The sequence below is a fragment of the Homo sapiens genome, chromosome Y, assembly GCF_000001405.40.
Source record: "Homo sapiens chromosome Y, GRCh38.p14 Primary Assembly".
NCBI classification, from domain to species: Eukaryota; Metazoa; Chordata; class Mammalia; order Primates; family Hominidae; genus Homo; species Homo sapiens.
In genome coordinates this window covers 1250654-1271474 of record NC_000024.10, presented here as the reverse complement: position 1 = coordinate 1271474, position 20821 = coordinate 1250654, and the positions used below count along the sequence as shown (strand labels likewise).

At 48.6% G+C, this 20821-nt stretch overlaps 1 protein-coding gene across 36 annotated transcripts in view, besides 1 other annotated feature; it reads right to left on the bottom strand.

Annotated features, from left to right (window-relative positions):
* CSF2RA (colony stimulating factor 2 receptor subunit alpha) overlaps positions 1-2661 on the bottom strand; it is a 56405-nt gene extending 53744 nt beyond the window's left edge. For all 36 annotated transcript variants that reach the window (NR_027760.3, NM_001379163.1, NM_001379159.1 and 33 more), the window contains exon 1: positions 2596-2661. The gene's annotated coding sequence lies outside the window, so the exon portion shown is untranslated. The remainder of the gene's footprint in view (positions 1-2595) is intronic.
* Positions 9774-10283: an enhancer, noted in NCBI's record as "NANOG hESC enhancer chrY:1330085-1330594 (GRCh37/hg19 assembly coordinates)". NCBI's record gives its function as "activates a minimal SCP1, AML or CMV promoter by ChIP-STARR-seq in naive H9 embryonic stem cells {active_cell/tissue: H9 hESC(naive)}" and the evidence as "EXISTENCE:reporter gene assay evidence [ECO:0000049][PMID:30033119]".

Sequence of the window (20821 nt, the reverse complement as noted above, 5' to 3'; positions counted from 1 at the left end):
CTAGCTACTCAGGAGGCTAATGCAGGAGAATTGCTTGAACCCGGGAGGTGGAGGTTGCAGTGAGCGGAGATTGCACCACTGCACTCCAGCCTGGGCGACAGAGCAAGACGCTGTCTCCAAAAAAAAAAAAAAAAAAAAAAAATACAAAAATTAGCCGGGCGTGGTGGCAGGTGCCTGTAATCCCAGCTACTCAGGAGGCTGAGGCAGGAGAATTGCTTGAACCCAGGAGGCGGAGGTTGCGGTGAGCAGAGATCGCGCCACTGCCCTCCAGCCTGGGCGACAGCACGAGACTCTGTCTCAACAAAAAGAGTGAAATGTGATTTAGCACACCTATAAAACGCGCAACAAGCTGTCCAAATCCAGACTCTTAGTACCCCAATCTGGGTGGTAACTTAAGATGCTTCATTTCTGTCTTTTTTAAAATTTGTAATAATTTAATCTTTTTTTTATACACGAGGGATGGGGGAATCTTACGATGTTGCCCCGGGCTGGTCTGGAATTGCTGTGGCCTCAAGCAATCCTCTGTCACCTCAGCCTTCCAAAATATTGGGATTACAGGCGCCCGCCACCACGCCCCGGCTAATTTTGGGTATTTTTAGTAGAGATGGGGTTTCACCCTGTTGGCCAGGCTGGTCTCGAACTCCTGACCTCAGGTGATCCGCCCACCTCAGCCTCCCAAAGTCCTGGGATTACACCACGCCCAGCTTAGAGGGACTCCATCTAGAATAGGGGCTGGGAACAGGGAGGCTGGGACAGGCTGGGCAGCATTCCCTGGAGGTCAGCCATTCCTGACGCAAGATATGTGAACAGATCAATACTGTTTACTAAACAGACCGAGGACTGAACAGACACAGAAACCTCCTGATGTGTTGATATCTTCAGAACAAAAGCTTTCATAGTGTGAGAATCCGTTTTGCTTTAAAAATGATAATATTGGGCCAGGCGCGGTGGCCCACACCTGTCATCCCACCACTTTGGGAGGCTGGGGCAGGAAGATAGATTGAGTCTAGGAGTTCAAGACCAGCCCGGGAAACACAGTGAAACCCTCGTCCCTACAAAAATACAAATATTTGCCAGGAATGGTGGCATTTGCCTTTGACCCAGCTACTCGGGAGGCCGAGATGGGAGGATTGCTTGAGCCCAGGAATTCAAGACAGCAGTCAGCTGTGATTGCACCACTGCCCTCCAGCCTGGATGACACAGCCAGATGATCTCAAAATAATAATAATAAAAAATATATAATATGTATATATACAATATTGATTACTGCAAAAGATAGTCATGACAAAGATGAATCCTTTATCAGTCACCCTTGTAGTGGAGCATCTCTCCCCACGACTTTTTTCTTTTAGTTATCTTTTTTTGGGGACAGAGTTTTGCTCTTGTTGCCCAGGCTGGAGTGCAACGGTGCAATCTGGGCTCACTGCAACCTCCGCCTCCCGGGTTCAAGCGATTCTCCTGCCTCAGCCTCCCAAGTAGCTGGGATTACAGGCACACACTGCCACACCTAGCTAATTTTTTCTATTTTTAATAAAGGTGTGGTTTTGCCATGTTGGCCAAGCTGATCTCGAACTCCTGAGCTCAGGTGATCCGCCCGCCTCAGCCTCCAAAAGTGTTGGGATTACAGGCATGAGCCACCGTGCCCGGCCCCCCTTTACTATCTTAATAAGCTTGCTTTCAGTTTGCAATGTGAACTTGCCTCCAGTTCTTTCTTGGGCAAGATCCCAGAACCCGTTCTTGAAGTCTGGATCAGGACCCCTTTCTAGTAACTAGTAACACCATCACACTCCCTCCCCCTTTCAGCTCTGCGTTCATCTCTTTTCATCTCTTTTTTTTTCTTTTTCTTTTTTTTGAGACAGAATCTCGTCTTGTTGCCCAGGCTGGAGTGCAGTGGTGCAATCTCAGCTCACTGCAAGCTCCGCCTCCCGGGTTCAAACGATTCTCCTGCCTCAGCCTCCTGAGTAGGTGGGATTACAGGTGCCTGCCACCACCATGCCCGGCTAATTTTGTATTTTTAGTAGAGACGGGGTTTCTCCATGTTGGCCAGGATGGTCTCGAACTGTCGACCTCAGGTGATCCACCCGCCTCAGTCTCCCAAAGTGCTGGGATTACAGGCGTGAGCCACCACGCCCGGCCGCGTTCATCTCTCGAAACGGCTTCCGGATGCCACAGATAGCTGTGAATTCACGTGATAATTCCGTGCTAGATACTACACCCCAACGCCCTGTAGCTTAGCAATGTACAGCCAATCATTAATCAATTGTTTTTTTCTGTAAACCAACGAGAATTCCCAGCAAACAGCTTCACAGAAGCCCCCTCCCTGTCCTCCAACAACACCTCCCTCTTTTTATTTTATTTTATTTTTTTAATTTTGCCTTTAAAAACCTGCATATAACAAAGGCAGAAGACAACTCATATGCAAGGTTCCTTGGCTCTCAGTCTTCTGGGCCGCTGTCCCCACTTCGGCTCGAGCCAACGTTTGAAATCTTATGTTCCAGTTCAGTCTCTTTCTTTTCTATCGACAGACACAGCAGAAACATGTACCCGGGTGACTCGACATGCTCAAAGACCACAGAAGGAAAGAACTTAGCTTACCCCCACGGCATCCGCTTCCTCTCCTTCCACCTGCTTTTCTTCTCTCGGAGACTCCCGCTTCTGAGTAGCTCCCTTCAGAGTTCCTCTGTGTCATCATACACTCCCTGCCCCTCCCTCCCCTGCTTCCTCATTTCATAGGATTGGGAAACCTGTAATTGCTCCGTGAGTTCATTGGCTCCTGACCTCGTCTCCAAAGACTGGCCCGTGGAACAGCTCAAGTGTGAGTCCCACACACATCTACACACACACACCTGCACACACATGTATGTCTGCACACACATCTGCACACACAGACCTGCACACGCACACATTCCCACACGCCCGCACACACGTGCACACACACTCCTGCACACATGCTTGCACGCGTGTGCATGTTTGCACACACACCTGCACACACAGACCTGCACACACACACATCTCCACACACCTGCACACAGTGCGCACGGGCGTACACACAGCTACACACACATCTGCACACACACCTGCACACATATGCATGTCTGCACACACAACTGCACACACAGACCTGCACACACACATCCCCACACACCTGCACACAGTGCACATGGGCATACACACAGCTACACACATATCTGCACACACATCTGCACAAACAAGCACACTGGCACAGTCCTGCACACACACCTGCACACACATACATGTCTGCACACACATCTGCACACACAGACCTGCACACTCACACATCCCCACTTTCCTGCAGGCACATGCATGTCTGCACACACAGACGTGCGCACACATCCCCACACACCTGCACACAGGGCACATGTGTGTACACACAGCTACACACACACATCTGCACACACACCTGCACGTACGTCTGCACAAACAAGCACAATGGCACACACACTTGTCTACACACGCACATCTGCACACACACCTGCACACACATGCATGTTTGCACACACATCTGCACACACAGACCTGCACACACATCCCCACACACCTGCACACAATGCACATGTGCATACACACAACTACACACACATCTGCGCACACACCTGCACACACATGCATGTCTGCACACACAACTGCACACACATCCCCACACACCTGCACACAGTGCACACGGGCGTACACACAGCTACACACACATCTGCACACACATCTGCACAAACAAGCACACTGGCACAGTCCTGCACACACACCTGCACACACATACGTCTGCAAACACATCTGCACACACAGACCTGCACACTCACACATCCCCACTTTCCTGCAGGCACATGCATGTCTGCACACACAGACGTGCGCACACATCCCCACACACCTGCACACAGGGCACATGTGTGTACACACAGCTACACACACACATCTGCACACACACCTGCACGTACGTCTGCACAAACAAGCACAATGGCACACACACACTTGTCTACACACGCACACCTGCACACACACCTGCACACACATGCATGTCTGCACACACAACTGCACACACAGACCTGCACACACACATCCCCACACACCTGCACACAGTGCACATGGGCGTACATAGAACTACACACACACATCTGTACACAAGCACATCTGCACACACACCTGCACACATATCTGTACACACACACACCTGCACACAGTGCACATGTGCATATACACAAGGACACATGCACATCTGCACACACATCTGCAAACACACACCTGCACACACATCTGTACACACACACACCTGCATACACATGCATGTCTGCACACACAGACCTGCACACACACGCATGTCTGCACACACAGACCTGCACACACACATCCTCACACACCTGCACACAGTGCACATGTGCATACACACATCTGCACACACACACATGCACACACACCTACACGCACGTCTGTACACACACCTCCATACACATGCATGTCTGCACACACAGACCTGCACACACACATCCCCACACACCTGCACACAATGCACATGTGCATACACACAACTACACACACATCTGCACACACACCTGCACACACATCTGTACACACACACACACCTGCATACACGTGCATGTCTGCACACACAGACCTGCACACACACATCCCCACACACCTGCACACAGTGCACCTATCCATACACACAACTACACACACATCTGCACACGCCTCTGCACAAGCATATTGGTGTACACACACCTGCACAGACACTTGCACACACACAAATACAGATGCCTTTTGTGCTGTCTACAAAATCATAAGAAACATCACGCAGGCCAGGGGCAGTGGCTCACTAAAAAAAAAAAAATACAAAAATTAGCCAGGCGTGGTGGCGAGTGCCTGTAATCCCAGCTACTCAGGAGGCTGAGGCAGGAGAATCCCTTGAACCCAGGAGATGGAGGTTGCAGTGAGCTGAGATGGTGCCATTGCCCTCCAGCCTGGGCAACAAGAGCAAAACTCCGTCTCAAAAAAAACAACCAAACAGACTGGACATGTGTTACGATACTAACAGTTGGCGCCTAAACAAAGCATAGGGCTTCATGCACATGCAATGGAAAACACCTGGATAGCAACATCAGCAAAGGTGAAAGATGGCTGACCAGGCTGCACCTCTACCGTCTTAGCCTCCCCATTCCTGCAGGAGCTGTCTTAGTCCATTCATGTTGCTGGAAAGGAATACCTGAGGTTGGGTAATTGATAAAGAAGAGATCATTGGCTGGGCGCGGTGGCTCACGCCTGTAATCCCAGCACTTTGGGAGACCGAGGCAGGCGGATCATGAGGTCAAGAGATCAAGACCAGCCTGGCCAACATGGTGAAACCCCATCTCTACTAAAAATACAAAAATTAGCTGGGTGTGGTGGCGTGCACCTGCAGTCCCAGCTACTTGGGAAGCTGAGGCAGGAGAATCAATTGAACCCGGGAGGCGGAGCTTGCAGTGAGCCGAGATGCTGCCACTGCACTCCAGCCCGGCGACAGAGCGAGACTGTGTCTCAAAAAAAAAAGAAGATTATAAATCATGCTGCTATAAAGACACATGCACACATATGTTTATAATGGCACTATTCACAATAGCAAAGACTTGGAACCAACCTAAATGTCCAACAACGATAGACTGGATTAAGAAAATGTGGCACATATACACCATGGAATACTATGCAGCCATAAAACATGATGAGTTCATGTCCTTTGTAGGGACAGGGTTGAAGCTGGAAACCATCATTCTGAGCAAACTATCGCAAGGACAAAAAACCAAACACCGCATGTTCTCACTCATAGGTGGGAATTGAACCATGAGAACACATGGACACAGGAAGGGGAACATCACACACCGGGGACTGTTGTGGGGTGGGGGGAGGGGGGAGGGACAGCATTAGGAGACATACCTAATGCTAAATGACGAGTTAATGGGTGCAGCACACCAACATGGCACATGGATACATATGTAACAAAGCTGCACGTTGTGCACACGTACCCTAGAACTTAAAGTATAATAATAATAAAATTTTTAAAAAAAGGTAAAAAAAAAAAGAGATTATTTATTCGGCTCATAGTGGTTCTCCAGGTTGTCCAGGAAGCGTGGTGTTTGGACCTGCTTGTGGTGAGGACGTCACGCTGCTTCCAGTCATGACAGAAAGTGAAGGGAAGACATTGTGTGTGGAGAGACCACATGGGCAGAAAGGAAGCAAGAGAGAGCGGGGGGAGGTGCCAGGGTCTTTTCAACAACCAGCTCTCCTGGAAACTGAGAATGAGAACTCACTCATGACTATGGGGGCAGGACCAAGCCATTCATACGGGATTCACCCACATGGTTTAAACATCTCCCACCAGGTCCCACCTACCACACAGGGGGTCAAATTTCAACATGAAACCTGGCAGGACCAAACAAACCGTATCCAAACTGTAGCATGCTGCCTCTCTCCAGAATTGATGTAGAGAAGGTTATCTCCCAAGAGCTCAAGCAGGTGGCTCACGAAGGCTGCTGGAAATGGCCACCATGGTGGATCTTCTTGTGAATGGCTCATACTTTGTTGCTGACATCGATGTAGAGAAATTTAACTTTCCAAGAGTTCAACCAGATGGCTTACCAAGGCTCAAACTGCAAACTATAGTGGGTCTGCTTGTCAATGGCTCATACCCTGTTTCTGACTTTCACCATTCATGTAGAGAAGTTTGTCTTTCCAAGAGCCAAATCAGATGACTCACCAAGGCTGCTGGAAGTGGGCACAATAATGGGCCTTTTTGTCTTTAATGAATCATGCCCTGTTGTTGACATCAATGTAAAGAAGTTTATCTTCCCAAGAATTCAACCAGATGGCTCAGCCAGGCTGCTGGAACTGGGCATCATGGTGGATCTTTTTGTCAAAGGCTCATATCTTCTTGTTGACATTGATGTAGAGAAGTTTATCTTCCCAAGAGCTCAACCAGATGGCTCAGCCAGGCTGCTGGAACTGGGCATCATGGTGGATCTTTTTGTCAAAGGCTCATATCTTCTTGTTGACATTGATGTAGAGAAGTTTATCTTCCCAAGAGCTCAACCAGATGGCTCAGCCAGGCTGCTGGAACTGGGCATCATGGTGGATCTTTTTGTCAAAGGCTCATATCTTCTTGTTGACATTGATGTAGAGAAGTTTATCTTCCCAAGAGCTCAACCAGATGGCTCAGCCAGGCTGCTGGAACTGGGCATCACGGTGGATCTTTTTGTCAAAGGCTCATATCTTCTTGTTGACATTGATGTAGAGAAGCTTATCTTCCCAAGAGCTCAACCAGATGGCTCAGCCAGGCTGCTGGAACTGGGCATCACGGTGGATCTTTTTGTCAAAGGCTCATATCTTCTTGTTGACATTGATGTAGAGAAGTTTATCTTCCCAAGAGCTCAACCAGATGGCTCACCCAGGCTGCTGGAACTGGGCATCATGGTGGATCTTTTTGTCAAAGGCTCATATCTTCTTGTTGACATTGATGTAGAGAAGTTTATCTTCCCAAGAGCTCAACCAGATGGCTCACCCAGGCTGCTGGAACTGGGCATCATGGTGGATATTCTTGTCAAAGGCTCATATCTTCCTTTTGACATTGATGTAGAGAAGTTTATCTTCCCAAGAGCTCAACCAGACGGTTCACCAAGGCTGCTGGAACTGGCACTGTTATACTACTTCTTGTCAATGGCTCACACCTTGTTTCTGAGTTTCACCATCAATGTGGAGAACTTTAAATTCCCGAGTTCAACCAGATGGCACACCAGATGCACACCGTGATATAATGGCTCGTATCTCACGGCTCACTCCCAGCTTAGGGCCAGATCCATTCAATTGTATTCATCCGACCCTCACAAAGCACCTTAAGCATTTTTCTTTTCTTTTCTTTTTAGACGGAGTTTTGCACTCTCTCCCAGGCTGGAGTGCAATGGTGCAATCTCGGCTCACTGCAATCTCCGCCTCCCGGGTTCATGCGATTCTCCTACCTCAGCCTCCTGAGTAGCTGGGATTACAGGCACCCGCCACCACACCTGGCTAAGTTTTTGTATTTTTAGTAGAGACGGGGTTTCACCATGTTAGCCAGGCTGGTCTCTATCTCCTGACCTTGTGATCCGCCCGCCTCGGCCTCCCAAAGTGCTAGGATTACAGGTGTGAGCCACTGCACCCCGGCCTGAAGTGAGTTTTTCTTGTTGTTTTCTGTTCCTGGATGGGATGGCAGAACTGGTTTTGCCAGATGGCCAGTCTAGGTGGTGTCAGCCGATCCGCCAGATGCAGGCTCTGCAAAACATCTCAAGCATCGATCTTAGTTTTACAACAGTGACATACTCCTGCAGGAGCCCTAAACTGTAATTTCTAATTTTGTAGCTAATTTGTGAGTCCTGTGAAGGCAGACTGGACCTTAGCTCTTAGGGAAAGGGGCTGTTTTCCATTTTGTTTCAGAATTACACCACGAACTGAATTTCTTCTCTTTTTTTTTTTTTAATTTTGAGAAGGAGTCTCACTCTGTCGCCCAGGCTGGAGTGCAGTGGCGCGATCTCGGCTCACTGCAAGCTCCACCTCCTGGGTTCACGCCATTCTCCTGCCTCAGCCTCCCGAGTAGCTGGGACTACAGGCGTCCACCACCACACCAAGCTAAGTTGTTGTATTTTTAGTAGAGACTGGGTTTCACCATGGTTGCCAGGCTGGTCTCGATCTCCTGACCTCGTGATCCGCCCGCTTGGCCTCCCAAAGTGCTGGGATTACAGGCGAGTCACCGCATCCGGCCTCACAGTTGGGTTTTATACATTCTAGGGATACATAAGAAATCAATCAACATAAGCAAGATGGGCCAGGGGCAGTGGCTCACACCTCTGACCTCAGGTGATCTGCCCCTGTCTGCCTCCCAAATGGCTGCATTCTTTTGAGTTTCTGGTTAGCCTCTCTAAAGGAGGCAATTAGATATGCATCTATCTCAGTGAGCACAGACGGTCACTTTGAATAGAATGAGAGGGAGAGGCCCTAAGCAGTTCCCAGCGGGGCCCAGAGATTTATTTTTCTTTCTTCTCGCCCAGGCTGGAGTGCAGTGGCTCGATCTGGGCTCACTGCAAGCTCCACCTCCCGTGTTCACGCCATTCTCCTGCCTCAGCCTCCTGCGTAGCTGGGACTACAGGCGCCCGCCACCACGCCTGGCTAAGTTTTTGTATTTTTAGTAGAGATGGGGTTTCACCGTGTTAGCCAGGATGGTCTCGATCTCCTGACCTCGTGATCCGCCCGCCTCGGCCTCCCAAAGTGCTGGGATGACAGGCGTGAGCCACCGCGCCTGGCGATTTATTTTTCTTTCACAAGGGACATCAGCTTTCGTGGAAGGGGCTAGAAGCAGGTGAAGGAGGAGGTGGGTTGGGGAGGAGGTGGAGTAGGGGAGCAGGGGAGCTGGGGAGAAGATTGAGTTGGGGGAATGCAGAGATAAGAAATAAAAGCTCTGGGCTGGCCGCGGTGGCTCACGCCTGTCATCCCAGCACTTTGGGAGGTGGAGGCGGGAGGATCACCTGAGGTCAGAGGAGTTACAGACCAGCATGGCCAACATAGTGAAACCCTGTCTCTACTAAAAATAGAAAAATTAGCCGGGCATGGTGGCAGCCACCTGTCATCCCAGCTATTCGGGGGGCTGAGGCAGGAGAATTGCTTGAACCCGGGAGACAGAGGTTGCAGTGAGCTGAGATCGCACCATTGCACTCCAGCCTGGGGAACAGGAGCGAGAGACTTTGTCTCAAAAAAAAAAAAAAAAGAAAAAAAAAGAAAAAGAAAGAAAGAAAAGAAAAAAAGAAAAGAAAAGAGAAAAGAAAAGAAAAAAAAAGAAATAGAAGCTCTGCTCTCAGGGGAATGGGATTAAGGGGCAAGGAGGGGGGCTCAGCTTCCCCAGGGAGAAACCATTCAGCTGTGGGGAGGGGTCTGCAGAGCACCTGCCCTCTGCCGGGTTGGGAGCATTGATGATGCTGCCAGAGAGCTTCTCATTCAGGCTGTTCTTTGTTCTCTACATGACAGAAAGCGCCCCTCACAGGGGTCTCCCTGGGGCACCGTGATCAGAATGATCCTGTCCAGATAACTCCTTCCCAACTGGAAATTCTCCATGACAAAAAGCTCAAGCTTCTGGTCCAGGCTCGCTGGCTCACGCCTGTAATCCCAGCACTTTGGGAGGTTGAGGTGGGCAGATCACGAGGTCAGGAGTTCAAGACCAGCCTGGCCAACATGGTGAAACACCATCTCTTACTAAAAACACCAAAGAAATATTAGCCGGGCGTGATGGCGGGCGCCTGTAATCCCAGCTACTCGGGAGGCTGAGGCAGGAGAATCACCTGAACCTGGGAGGCGGAGGTTGCAGTGAGCTGAGTTCATGCCACTGCACTCCAGCCTGGACGACAAGAGTGAAACTCCATCTCAAAACATAAAACAAAACAAAACAAAACAAAAACAATCTCTTGCTGACCGGGCTCATTGACTGACGCCTGTAATCCCAGCACTTTGGGAGGCCGAGACAGGTGGATCAGTTGAGGTCAGGAGCTCGAGACCAGCCTGGCCAACATGGGGAAACACCATCTCTACTAAAAATATCAAAAAAAGGCCGGGTGCAATGGCTTACCCTGTCATCCCAGCACTTTGGGAGGCCGAGGGGAGCGGATCACCTGAGGTCAGGAGTTCGAGACCAGCCTGACCCACAGGGAGAAACCCCGTCTCTACTAAAAATACAAAAATCAGCTGGGTGTGGTGGTGGGCGCCTGTAATCCCAGCTACTCGCGAGGCTGAGGCAGGGGAATCGCTTGAACCCGGAAGTGGAGGTTGCAGTGAGCTGAGATCGTGCCACTACACTCCAGCCTGGGTGAGGAGAGTGAAACTCCATCTCAAAACATAAAACAAAAAAAAAAAACAACAAAAATCTCTTGCTAACCGGGCGCAGTGGCTCACGCCTGTAATCCCAGCACTTTGGGAGGCCGAGAGGGGTGGATCACTTGAGGTCAGGAGTTCAAGACCAGGCTGGCCAACATGGTGAAACCGTGTCTCAAATAAAAATACAAAAACAAAAAAGAAAAATTAGCCGGGCGTGGGGGCAGGCACCTGTACTCCTAGAAACTCAGGAGGCTGGGGCAGGAGAGTCTCTGGAACCTGGGAGGCAGAGGTTGCAGTGAGCCGAGATTGTGCCACTGCATTCCAGCCTGGGCAACAAGAGTGAAACTCCGTCTGAAAACATAAAAACAAAACAAAAGAAAAACCCTGTTTCTGACCGGGCGCAGTGGCTCACGCCTGTAATCCCAGCACTTTGGGAGGCCGAGACGGGTGGATCACTTGAGGTCAGGAGTTCGAGACCAGGCTGGCCAACATGGCAAAACCCTGTCTCTACTAAAAATACAGAAACAAAAAAAGAAAGAAAAATTAGCCAGGCGTGGTGGCAGGCACCTGTACTCCCAGAAACTCGGGAGGCTGAGGCAGGAGAATCTCTTGAACCCGGGAGGCGGAGGTTGCAGTGAGCCGAGATCGTGCCACTGCACTCCAGCCTGGGTGACAAGAGTGAAACTCCGTCTCATAACAAAAACCAAAAACCAAAAAACCCTCATTCCTCTGGAGCCCACAGAACTTCCAGAACCAAAATCCCATGGCCCAGAGGGGTCGGTTTCTACTTCTCTAGGACCGAGGATTACCTGGAAGCTGTGAGTTGCAGGATTTCAAATCTCCCTTGTCTGGCAGTTTATCCTAAAGGTTAGTGGCTGAGAGAAAGGTTCTGAGAACAGATGAGAAACAGGCTTTCCAAGAAACGGAGACTGGGTTTCCCGCTCTGCATGCTCTTCTGCCCACAGAAAGAATTCCCCACGTCTTATTATTCTCCCAGGTTTGGGCCAAAAACTCCGAAACTGATGTCCTTTTCAGAGGCTACTTATTAGCTACTGTTTTGTTTTGTTTTGTTTTGTTTTTTGAGACGGACTCTCGCTCTGTTGCCCAGGCTGGAGTGCAGTGGTGCAATCTCGGCTCACTACAACCTCCGCCTCCCGGGTTCAAGCGATTCTCCTGCCTCAGCCTCCCAAGTAGCTGGGATCACAGGCATGTGCCATCACGCCTGACTAATTTTTTTTTTTTTGTATTTTTAGTAGAGATGGGGGAAGAGGGGGCTCACCGTGTTAGCCAGGCTGGTCTCGAACTCCGGACCTCAGGTGATCCGCCTGCCTCTGCCTCCCAAAGTGCTGGGATTACAGGCATGAGCCGCTGTGCCGGCCTGTTTTGTGAATCTTATGATCTTGGTTTTCACGTGAATGCTGCTCAGCTGTGCCTGAATTCTAAAGGCAGGAGGCTGTAATGAGGCATGTCCGGCCCCACTTTCCATGACGGCCTGAAGTGGACTTTCAGGTTAACTTTTTTTTTTTTTTTTTTGAGACAGAGTCTCACTCTGTCACCCAGGCTGGAGGGCAGTGGCGCAATCTTGGCTCACTGCAAGCTCTGCCTCCTGGGTTCACTCCATTCTCCTGCCTCAGCCTCTTGAGTAGCCGTGATTACAGGCACCTGCCCCCACGCCAACCTAATTTTTTGTATTTTTAGTAGTGACGGGGTTTGACTATATTGGCCAGGCTGGTCTGGAACTCCTGACCTCATGATCCCCCCGCCTCGGCCTCCCAAAGTGCTGGGATTACAGGCGTGAGCCACCGCGCCCGGCCTTAACTTTCAAATGTCCTTAGTTGAGGGAAGGGATCCATTCAGATAGTTGAGCAAGCATTCAAATTTTATTTGTGGTTTACATTAGTGATAACAGGAGCCTGTGGAGATGCTATAAACCTCTGTTTTTTCTCTTCTTTTCTCTTGTTTTTTTTTTTTTTTTTTTGAGACAGGGTCTCACTCTGTCCCCCAGGATGGAGTACAGTGGTGTGATCTCAACACATTGCAATCTCTGCCTCCGGGTTCAAGTGATTCTCATACCTCAGCCTCCTGAGTAGCTGGGATTACAGGCATGCAGCGACATGCCCAGCTAATTTTTGTATTTTTAGTAGAGACGGGGTTGCACCCTGTTGGCCAGGCTGGTCTTGAACTCCTACCTCATGTGATCTGCCTCTCTTGGCCTCGCAAAGTGCTGGGATGACAGGCTGGGATCATGGTATCCAGGCAATTTTTTTTTTTTTTTTTTTGAGACAGAGTCTCGCTGTCTCCCAGGCTGGAGTGCAGTGGCACGATCTTGGCTCACTGCAAGCTCTGCCTCCTGGGTTCACGCCATTCTGCTGCCTCAGCCTCCAAGTAGCTGGGACTACAGGCGCCCGCCAACACGCCCGGCTAATTTTTTGTATTTTTAGTAGAGACGGGGTTGCACCCCGTTGGCCAGGCTGGTATCGAACTCCTACGTCACGTGATCCGCCTGTCTTGGCCTCGCAAAGTGCTGGGATGACAGGTTGGGATCACCGTGCCCGGGCAATTTTATAAAAAAACTTATCTGTACACACAAAGTCTCACTATGTTGCCCAGACTGGTCTCGAACTCCTGGGCCCAAATGATCTGTCTGCAGAAAAACCACAGAGTGATACATGATCTTGGCAGATTCTTTTTTTTGAGACTGAGTCTCACTCTGTCACCCAGGTCGGAGGGCAGTGGTTTGATCTCAGCTCACCGCAACCTCCACCTCCCAGGTTCAAGCGATTCTCCTGCCTCAGCCTCCTGAGTGCAGCTGGGATGACAGGCACACACCACCACGCCTGGCTAATTTATGTAGTTTTAGTAGAGACGGGGTTTCACCATGTTGGCCAGGATGGTCTCGATCTCTTGACCTCGTGATCCACCCGCCTCGGCCTCCCAAAGTGCTGGGATGACAGGCGTGAGCCACCGTGACAGGCGTGAAACTGTTCATTTTTAAGCTTAGGTTTAACACAGTCTGGACACCTGTGTAGAAGCAGAATTGGTGGAAAAAGGCCTGATCTAAGGCTAATGAATGAGTGAGGAAATCCAGCCAGGCCTGTCTTTCTAGATTCTTCTTGGTGTCTCTCAGCAGAGCTCCTTTTCTTCTGGGTGTGGGGCAGAAGAAAAGAACGGAATTCCTGTTCCTCTCTGGAATGGAAATCTTAGGATCTTCAGACAAACAAGGGAGGTCATGGAATTTCCTTATGGCCAGTTTTTACACAGAAAAGGGGAGGGAAAATCAGAGTCCTATTTTTATTTATTTATTTATTTTAGACGGAGTCTCGCTCTGTGGCCCAGGCTGGAGTGCAGTGGCACGATCTCGGCTCACTGCAAGCTCCGCCTTCCGGGTTCACGCCATTCTCCTGCCTCAACCTCCCATGTTGGCCAGGCTGGTCTTGAACTCCTGACCTCAGGAGATCCGCCCTCCTCGGCCTCCCAAAGTGCTGGGATTACAGGCTTCAGCCACCGCGCCCGGCCTAACACAGATCTTAAGTCTGAAAAAGAAATATTTACAATTGGCTGGGTCCGGTGGCTACAAAAAATACAAAAAATACAGAAATTAGCCAGGCACGGTGGCACCTGTAATCCCAGCTACTTGGGAGGCTGAGGCAGAAGAATCACTTGAACCCGGGAAGCGGAGGTTGCAGTGAGCCGAGATCATGCTACTTCACTCCAGCCTGGGTGATAGAGCAACACTCTGTCTCAAAAAAAAAAAACAAAAACAAAAACAAAAGGAGAAACATTTACAATCTAGTCTCTCTGAAGCCTGCTCCCTGGAGGCGTCATCTGCTTGATAAAACCTTGGTCCCCAAACCCTATACCATTATAACCCAGACATTCTTTTCTATTGATAATAATTCTCGGCCAGGCACAATGGCTAACGCCTGTCATCCCAGCACTTTGGGAGGCCGAGGAGGGTGAATCACCTGAGGTTGGGAGTTCGAGACCAGCCTGACCAACATGGAGAAACCCCGTCTCTACTAAAAATACAAAATTAGCCGGGCGTGGTGGCGGGCGCCTGTAGTCCCAGCTACTAGGGAGGCTGAGGCAGGAGAATCGCTTGAACCCAGAAGGCGGAGGTTGTGGTGAACCGAGATCACGCCATTGCACTCCAGCCTGGGCAACAGAGCAAGATTCCACCTCAAAAATAAAATAAAACAAATAGGCCGGGCGCAGTGGCTCACACCTGTAATCCAAGCACTTTGGGAGGCCGAGGCAGGCAGATCACAAGGTCAGGAGATCGAGACCATCCTGGCTAACACGGTGAAACCCTGTTTCTACTAAAAATACAAAAATTAGCCGGGCATGGTGGCGGGTGCCTGTGGTCCCAGCTTCTTGGAAGGCTGAGGCAGGAGAATTTCTTGAACCAGGGAGGCAGAGTTTGCAGTGAGCTGATACCATGCCACTGCACTCCAGCCTGGGTGACAGAGTGAGACTCCACCTCAAAAATAACCCCATCTCTACTAAAAATACAAACTTAGCCGAGCATGGTGGTGCATGCCTGTAATCCTAGCTATTCGGGAGGCTGAGGCAGGAGAATCGTTTGAACCCGGGAGGCAGAGGTTGCAGTGAGCTGAGATCATGCCACCGCACTCTAGCCTGGACAACAAGAGTGAAACTCCATCTGAAAAAAAAAAGAAAAATTATTTCAAACAATTACCAATCACAAAATGTTTAAATCTACCTATTACCTGGGAGCGTTTGCTGTGAGCTTCCCCATTTTTCCGGACTGAAGCAATGTGTGTCTTAAATATGTTTGATTCATGTCTCACGTCTACCTAAAATGTACAGAAGCAGCCCAGCCTGGTGTGGCTCCCGTCTGTCATCCCAGCACTTTTGGGAGGCCGAGGCGGGCGGATTGCCTGAGCTCAGGAGTTGGACACCACCCTGGGTATAGTGATGAAACCCTATCTGTACTAAAAATACAAAAAATTAGCTGGGCATGGTGGTGCGTGCCTGTAATCCCAGTTAGGAGGCTGAGGCAGGAGAATCACTTGAACCCGAGAGGCAGAGGTTGCAGTGAGCTGAGACCGCGCCACTGCACTCCAGCCTGGGCAACAAGAGGGAGGGAGACTCCATCTTAAAAAAAAAAAAAACAATAATACAAATACAAATACAAAAATTAGCCAGGTGTGGTGGTGCGTGCCTGTAATCCCAGCTACTCAGGAGGCTGAGGCAGGAGAATCGCTTGAACCCTGGAGGTGGAGGTGGCAGTGAGCTGCAATTGTGCCATTGTACTCCAGCCTGGGCTACAAGAGTGAAGCTCTGTCTCAATAATAATAAGAAGAAGAAATAAGAAAAAAAAGAAATTAACACAGTTGCATTTTTCCACGTTTTTCTTGATTGTTTCAGATGGGAGGGTAAAGTGCATTTCCATGATTCCATCTTGGCTGAACGTAGACTTCTCTGTCCCTACTTTTATCACCATCCCACAGCCCACCATGGACATGCAGCTGTAATCCCTGTAATCCCACCTACTCAGGAGGCTGAGGCAGGTGAATCGCTTGAACCCTGGAGGTGGAGGTTGCGATCAGCCGAGATCTTGCCACTGCACTCCAACCCGGCAACAGAGCAAGATTCCCTCTTTAAAAAAAAAAAATTGAGATGGTGATAGAGTTTGTATGTTTGTACCCTCCAAATATCATGTTGAAATGGGATCCCCAATGTTGGGGGGTGGGGTCTGGTGGTAGGTGTTTGGATCATGGGGTGAATCCCTAGTAAATAGCTTGGTGCAGTCCCCAAGGTAATGAGACAGTAAATGAGCTCTCCTCTGTGAATTCGTGTGAGAGTTTGTTCTTTTACCATCCTGGCTAACATGGTGAAACCCCATCTCTACTAAAAATACACAAAATTAGCCGGGCGTGGTGGTGGGCACCTGTAGTCCCAGCTACTTGGGAGGCTGAGGCAGGAAAATGGCATGAACCCGGGAGGTGGAGGTTGCAGTGAGCCGAGATTGCGCCACTGCACTGCAGCCTGGTGACAGAGTGAGACTGTCTCAAAAAAAGAAAAAAGCCAGGCGCAGTGGCTCACGCCTGTAATCCCAGCACTTTGGGAGGCCGAGGTGGGCGGATCACGAGGTCAGGAGATTGAGACCATCCTGGCTAACATGGTGAAACCCCGTCTGTACCAAAAATACAAAAAAAAAATTAGCCAGACGCTGTGGCAGGCGCCTGTAGTCCCAGCTACTCAGTAGGCTGAGGCAGGAGAATCGCTTGAACCTGGGAGGCGGAGGTTGCAGTGAGCCAAGATCGCGCCACTGCACTCCAGCCTGGGCAACAGAGTGAGACTCCGTCTCAAAAAAATAAAAAAGACCCTGGCTTCTCTCTCGCTTCCTTTCTCACCATGTAATTCCTTCTACCCCTTTGCCTTGCACCATGACTGGAAACCCTCCGCCTCCAGTTCTCAGTTCTCCACTTTCCTCGTATGTCACCTTCAGATGACATTGAGCATTTGTTTATTTATACTTCCCTGCCTTTCCAGAAACAATGGTCCTGTGAATCTTTAACCTCCAGTACTAAGGCCAGAACGTGGCCCTGAGGAATGTGTTCAAAGGACTGAGCTCTGAGATTCATCCCAGCACCTGTAAGCGGCTTCCTGTAGGTGCCTGTCCTGGTCTGTGAACCTGGGGATGGTGATATCTTTTGCTTGATGGACACATGGCCCAGAGAATGTCACTGCTTTTACAGACATAGCCTTGTCTGTGCCATCTGCTTGTTCCTTGCTGGGAAGCCCCAGTTCTTTGCCTTCTGCCATGACTGGAAACCCTCCGCCTCCAGTTCTCCGTTCTCTGCTTCCCTCATACGTCACCTTCAGATGATATTGAGCATTTGTTTATTTATACTTCCCTGCCTTTCCAGAAACAATGGTCCCGTGAATCTTTAACCTCCAGTACTAAGGCCAGAACGTGGCCTGGAGGGATGTGTTCAAAGGACCGAGCTCTGAGATTCATCCCAGCACCTGTAAGCGGCTTCCTGTAGGTGCCTGTCCTGGTCTGTGAACATGGGGATGGTGATATCTTTTGCTTGATGGACACATGGCCCAGAGAATGTCACTGCTTTTACAGACATGGCCTTGTCTGTGCCATCTGCTTGTTCCTTGCTGGGAAGCCCCAGTTCTTTGCCTTCTGCCATGACTGGAAACCCTCCGCCTCCAGTTCTCAGTTCTCCGCTTCCCTCGTACGTCACCTTCAGATGACATTGAGCATTTGTTTATTTATACTTCCCTGCCTTTCCAGAAACAATGGTCCCGTGAATCTTTAACCTCCAGTACTAACGCCAGAACGTGGCCCGGAGGGATGTGTTCAAAGGACCGAGCTCTGAGATACATCCCAGCACCTGTAAGCGGCTTCCTGTAGGTGCCTGTCCTGGTCTGTGAACCTGGGGATGGTGATATCTTTTGCTTGATGGACACATGGCCCAGAGAATGTCACTGTTTGAACAGACATAGCCTTGTCTGTGCCATCTCCTTGTTCCTTGCTGGGAAGCCCCAGTTCTCTCTTTAGAATGAGGGATGTGGGCCAGGCAGGGACTTTCTGACCTGAGTTTCCTCTTAGCTGAAAACTGTGGTTCCTGGTCTCCTTCACCTCCCTTTTCTCAGGGGCAGGGATGGGTACCAGGAGGGGGGGTGGTATGAGGTAAAGCTCAGAGACAGACTTTAGATGGTGGGTTGGGCGAGGTGGCTCACACCTATAATCCCAGCACTTTGGGAGGCCGAACAGGGGCATTTAATAAATCTACACATGGGCCGTGCGCAGTGGCTCACACCTGTAATCCCAGCAGTCTGGGAGGCCGAGGCAGGCAGATCACTTGAGGTCAGGAGTTCGAGAGCAGCCTGGTCATCATGGTGAAACCCCATCTCTAACAAAAATACAAAAAAAATAGCTGGGTGTGGTGGCAGTTGGCTGTAATCCCAGCTACTCGGGAGGCTGAGGCAGGAGAATCGATTGAACCTGGGAGGTGGCCGTTGCAGTGAGCTGAGATCATGCCATTGCACTCCAGCCTGGGCAACAAGAGTGAAATTCTATCTCAAAAAATAAATAAAATAAAATAAAAATAATAAATTCACAAGTCGTGATTTTCCTGGAAAATGTTGATGCTGTTGGGAAGGAGAGAAGTCTGAGGACTCAGATAAGCCTGTTCTGCCTCTGAAGCAGCTCGGCGTTGTAATAAGTAAAGGCACCAGTGGGAAAAGTCTCAGGGTGTTGTCTGCTGAAGCAGACTCAATGAGTTTTCCTGTGTGGGGTGGTGGGAAGGTTGGCAGGTAGACCACAAGGCAAATTAAGATAAGCTGGTGACTCCGGCCTTTGGAACAAAGAAATGGAAAACTACAGCCCCAGGCCGGGAGTGGTGGCTCAAGCCTGTAATCCCAGCACTTTGTTTATCATTATTATTTTGAGAGGGAGTCTTCCTCTGTCACCAGGCCTGAGTGCAGGTGGCGCGACCTCTGCTCACTGCAATCTCTGCCTCCCGGGTTCACGCCATTCTCTTGCCTCAGCCTCCTGAGTAGCTGGGATTACTGGCGTGCATCACCATGCCTGGCCAATTTTTGTATTTTTAGTAGAGACGGGGTTTCACCATGTTGGCCAGGATGGTCTCGAACTCCTGACCTCGTGATCCACCCGCCTCGGCCTCCCAAAATGCTGGGACTACAGGCGTGATCCACCACACCCGGCATCTATCTATGTGTCTGTCTATCTATCTATCTATCTATCTATCTATCTATCTATCTATCATCTATCACTTATCTATCCTATCAATTATCTACCCTATCATCTATCAATTATCTATCATCTGTCTACCTATCACCTACCATCTATCATATCTATAATGATTACTTATTATATCAATTAATCTTCTATTACATCTATTATTTGTCTATGCTCTCTTTGTATCTACTCTCTCTATATATCTATATGGATAGATATCTATGTATATCTATATGGATATATCTATGTGGATATATCTGTGGATATATCTATATGGATATATCTATGTGGATATACCCATATGGGTATATCTATGTGGATATACCCATATGGGTATATCTATGTGGATATACCCATATGGGTATATCTATGTGGATATACCCATATGGGTATATCTATGTGGATATACCCATATGGGTATATCTATGTGGATATACCCATATGGGTATATCTATGTGGATATATCCATATGGGTATATCTATGTGGACATATCTATATGGATATATCTATATGGATAGATATCATAATCATTTATTATATCTATCATCTCAGTTTTATCTATCTATATGTCTATCTATCATCTATCTACCTATCACCTATCATATCTATAATGATCACTCATTATATCAATCGATCTTCTATTCCATTTATTATCTATGTCCCTCTATCTTTGTATCTACTCTCTCTAGATATCTATCTAGATATCTGTCTATATAGATATCTACCTAGATATCACCTATCATAATCATTTATTATATCTATCATCTAAGTTTTATCTATCTATATGTTTATCATCTATCACCTACTATCTATCGTATCTATAATGATCACTTATATCAATTAATCTTCTATTCCATCTATTATCTATGTCTCTCTTTGTATCTACTCTCTCTATATCTATATAGATATCTATCTATATAGATATGTATCACCTATCATAATCATTTATTGTATCTATCATCTAAGTTTTATCTATCTATATGTCTACCATCTGTCTATCACCTACCATCTATCATATTGATAATGATCACTTATTATATCAATCGATCTTCTATTCCATCTATTATTTATGTGTCTTTCTATTTACTCCCTCTATATATCTATATAGATATCTATGTATCTATCACCTATCATAATCATTTGTTATATCTATCATCTAAGTTTTATCTATCTATTGATCTATCTATCATCTGTCTACCTATCACCTATCA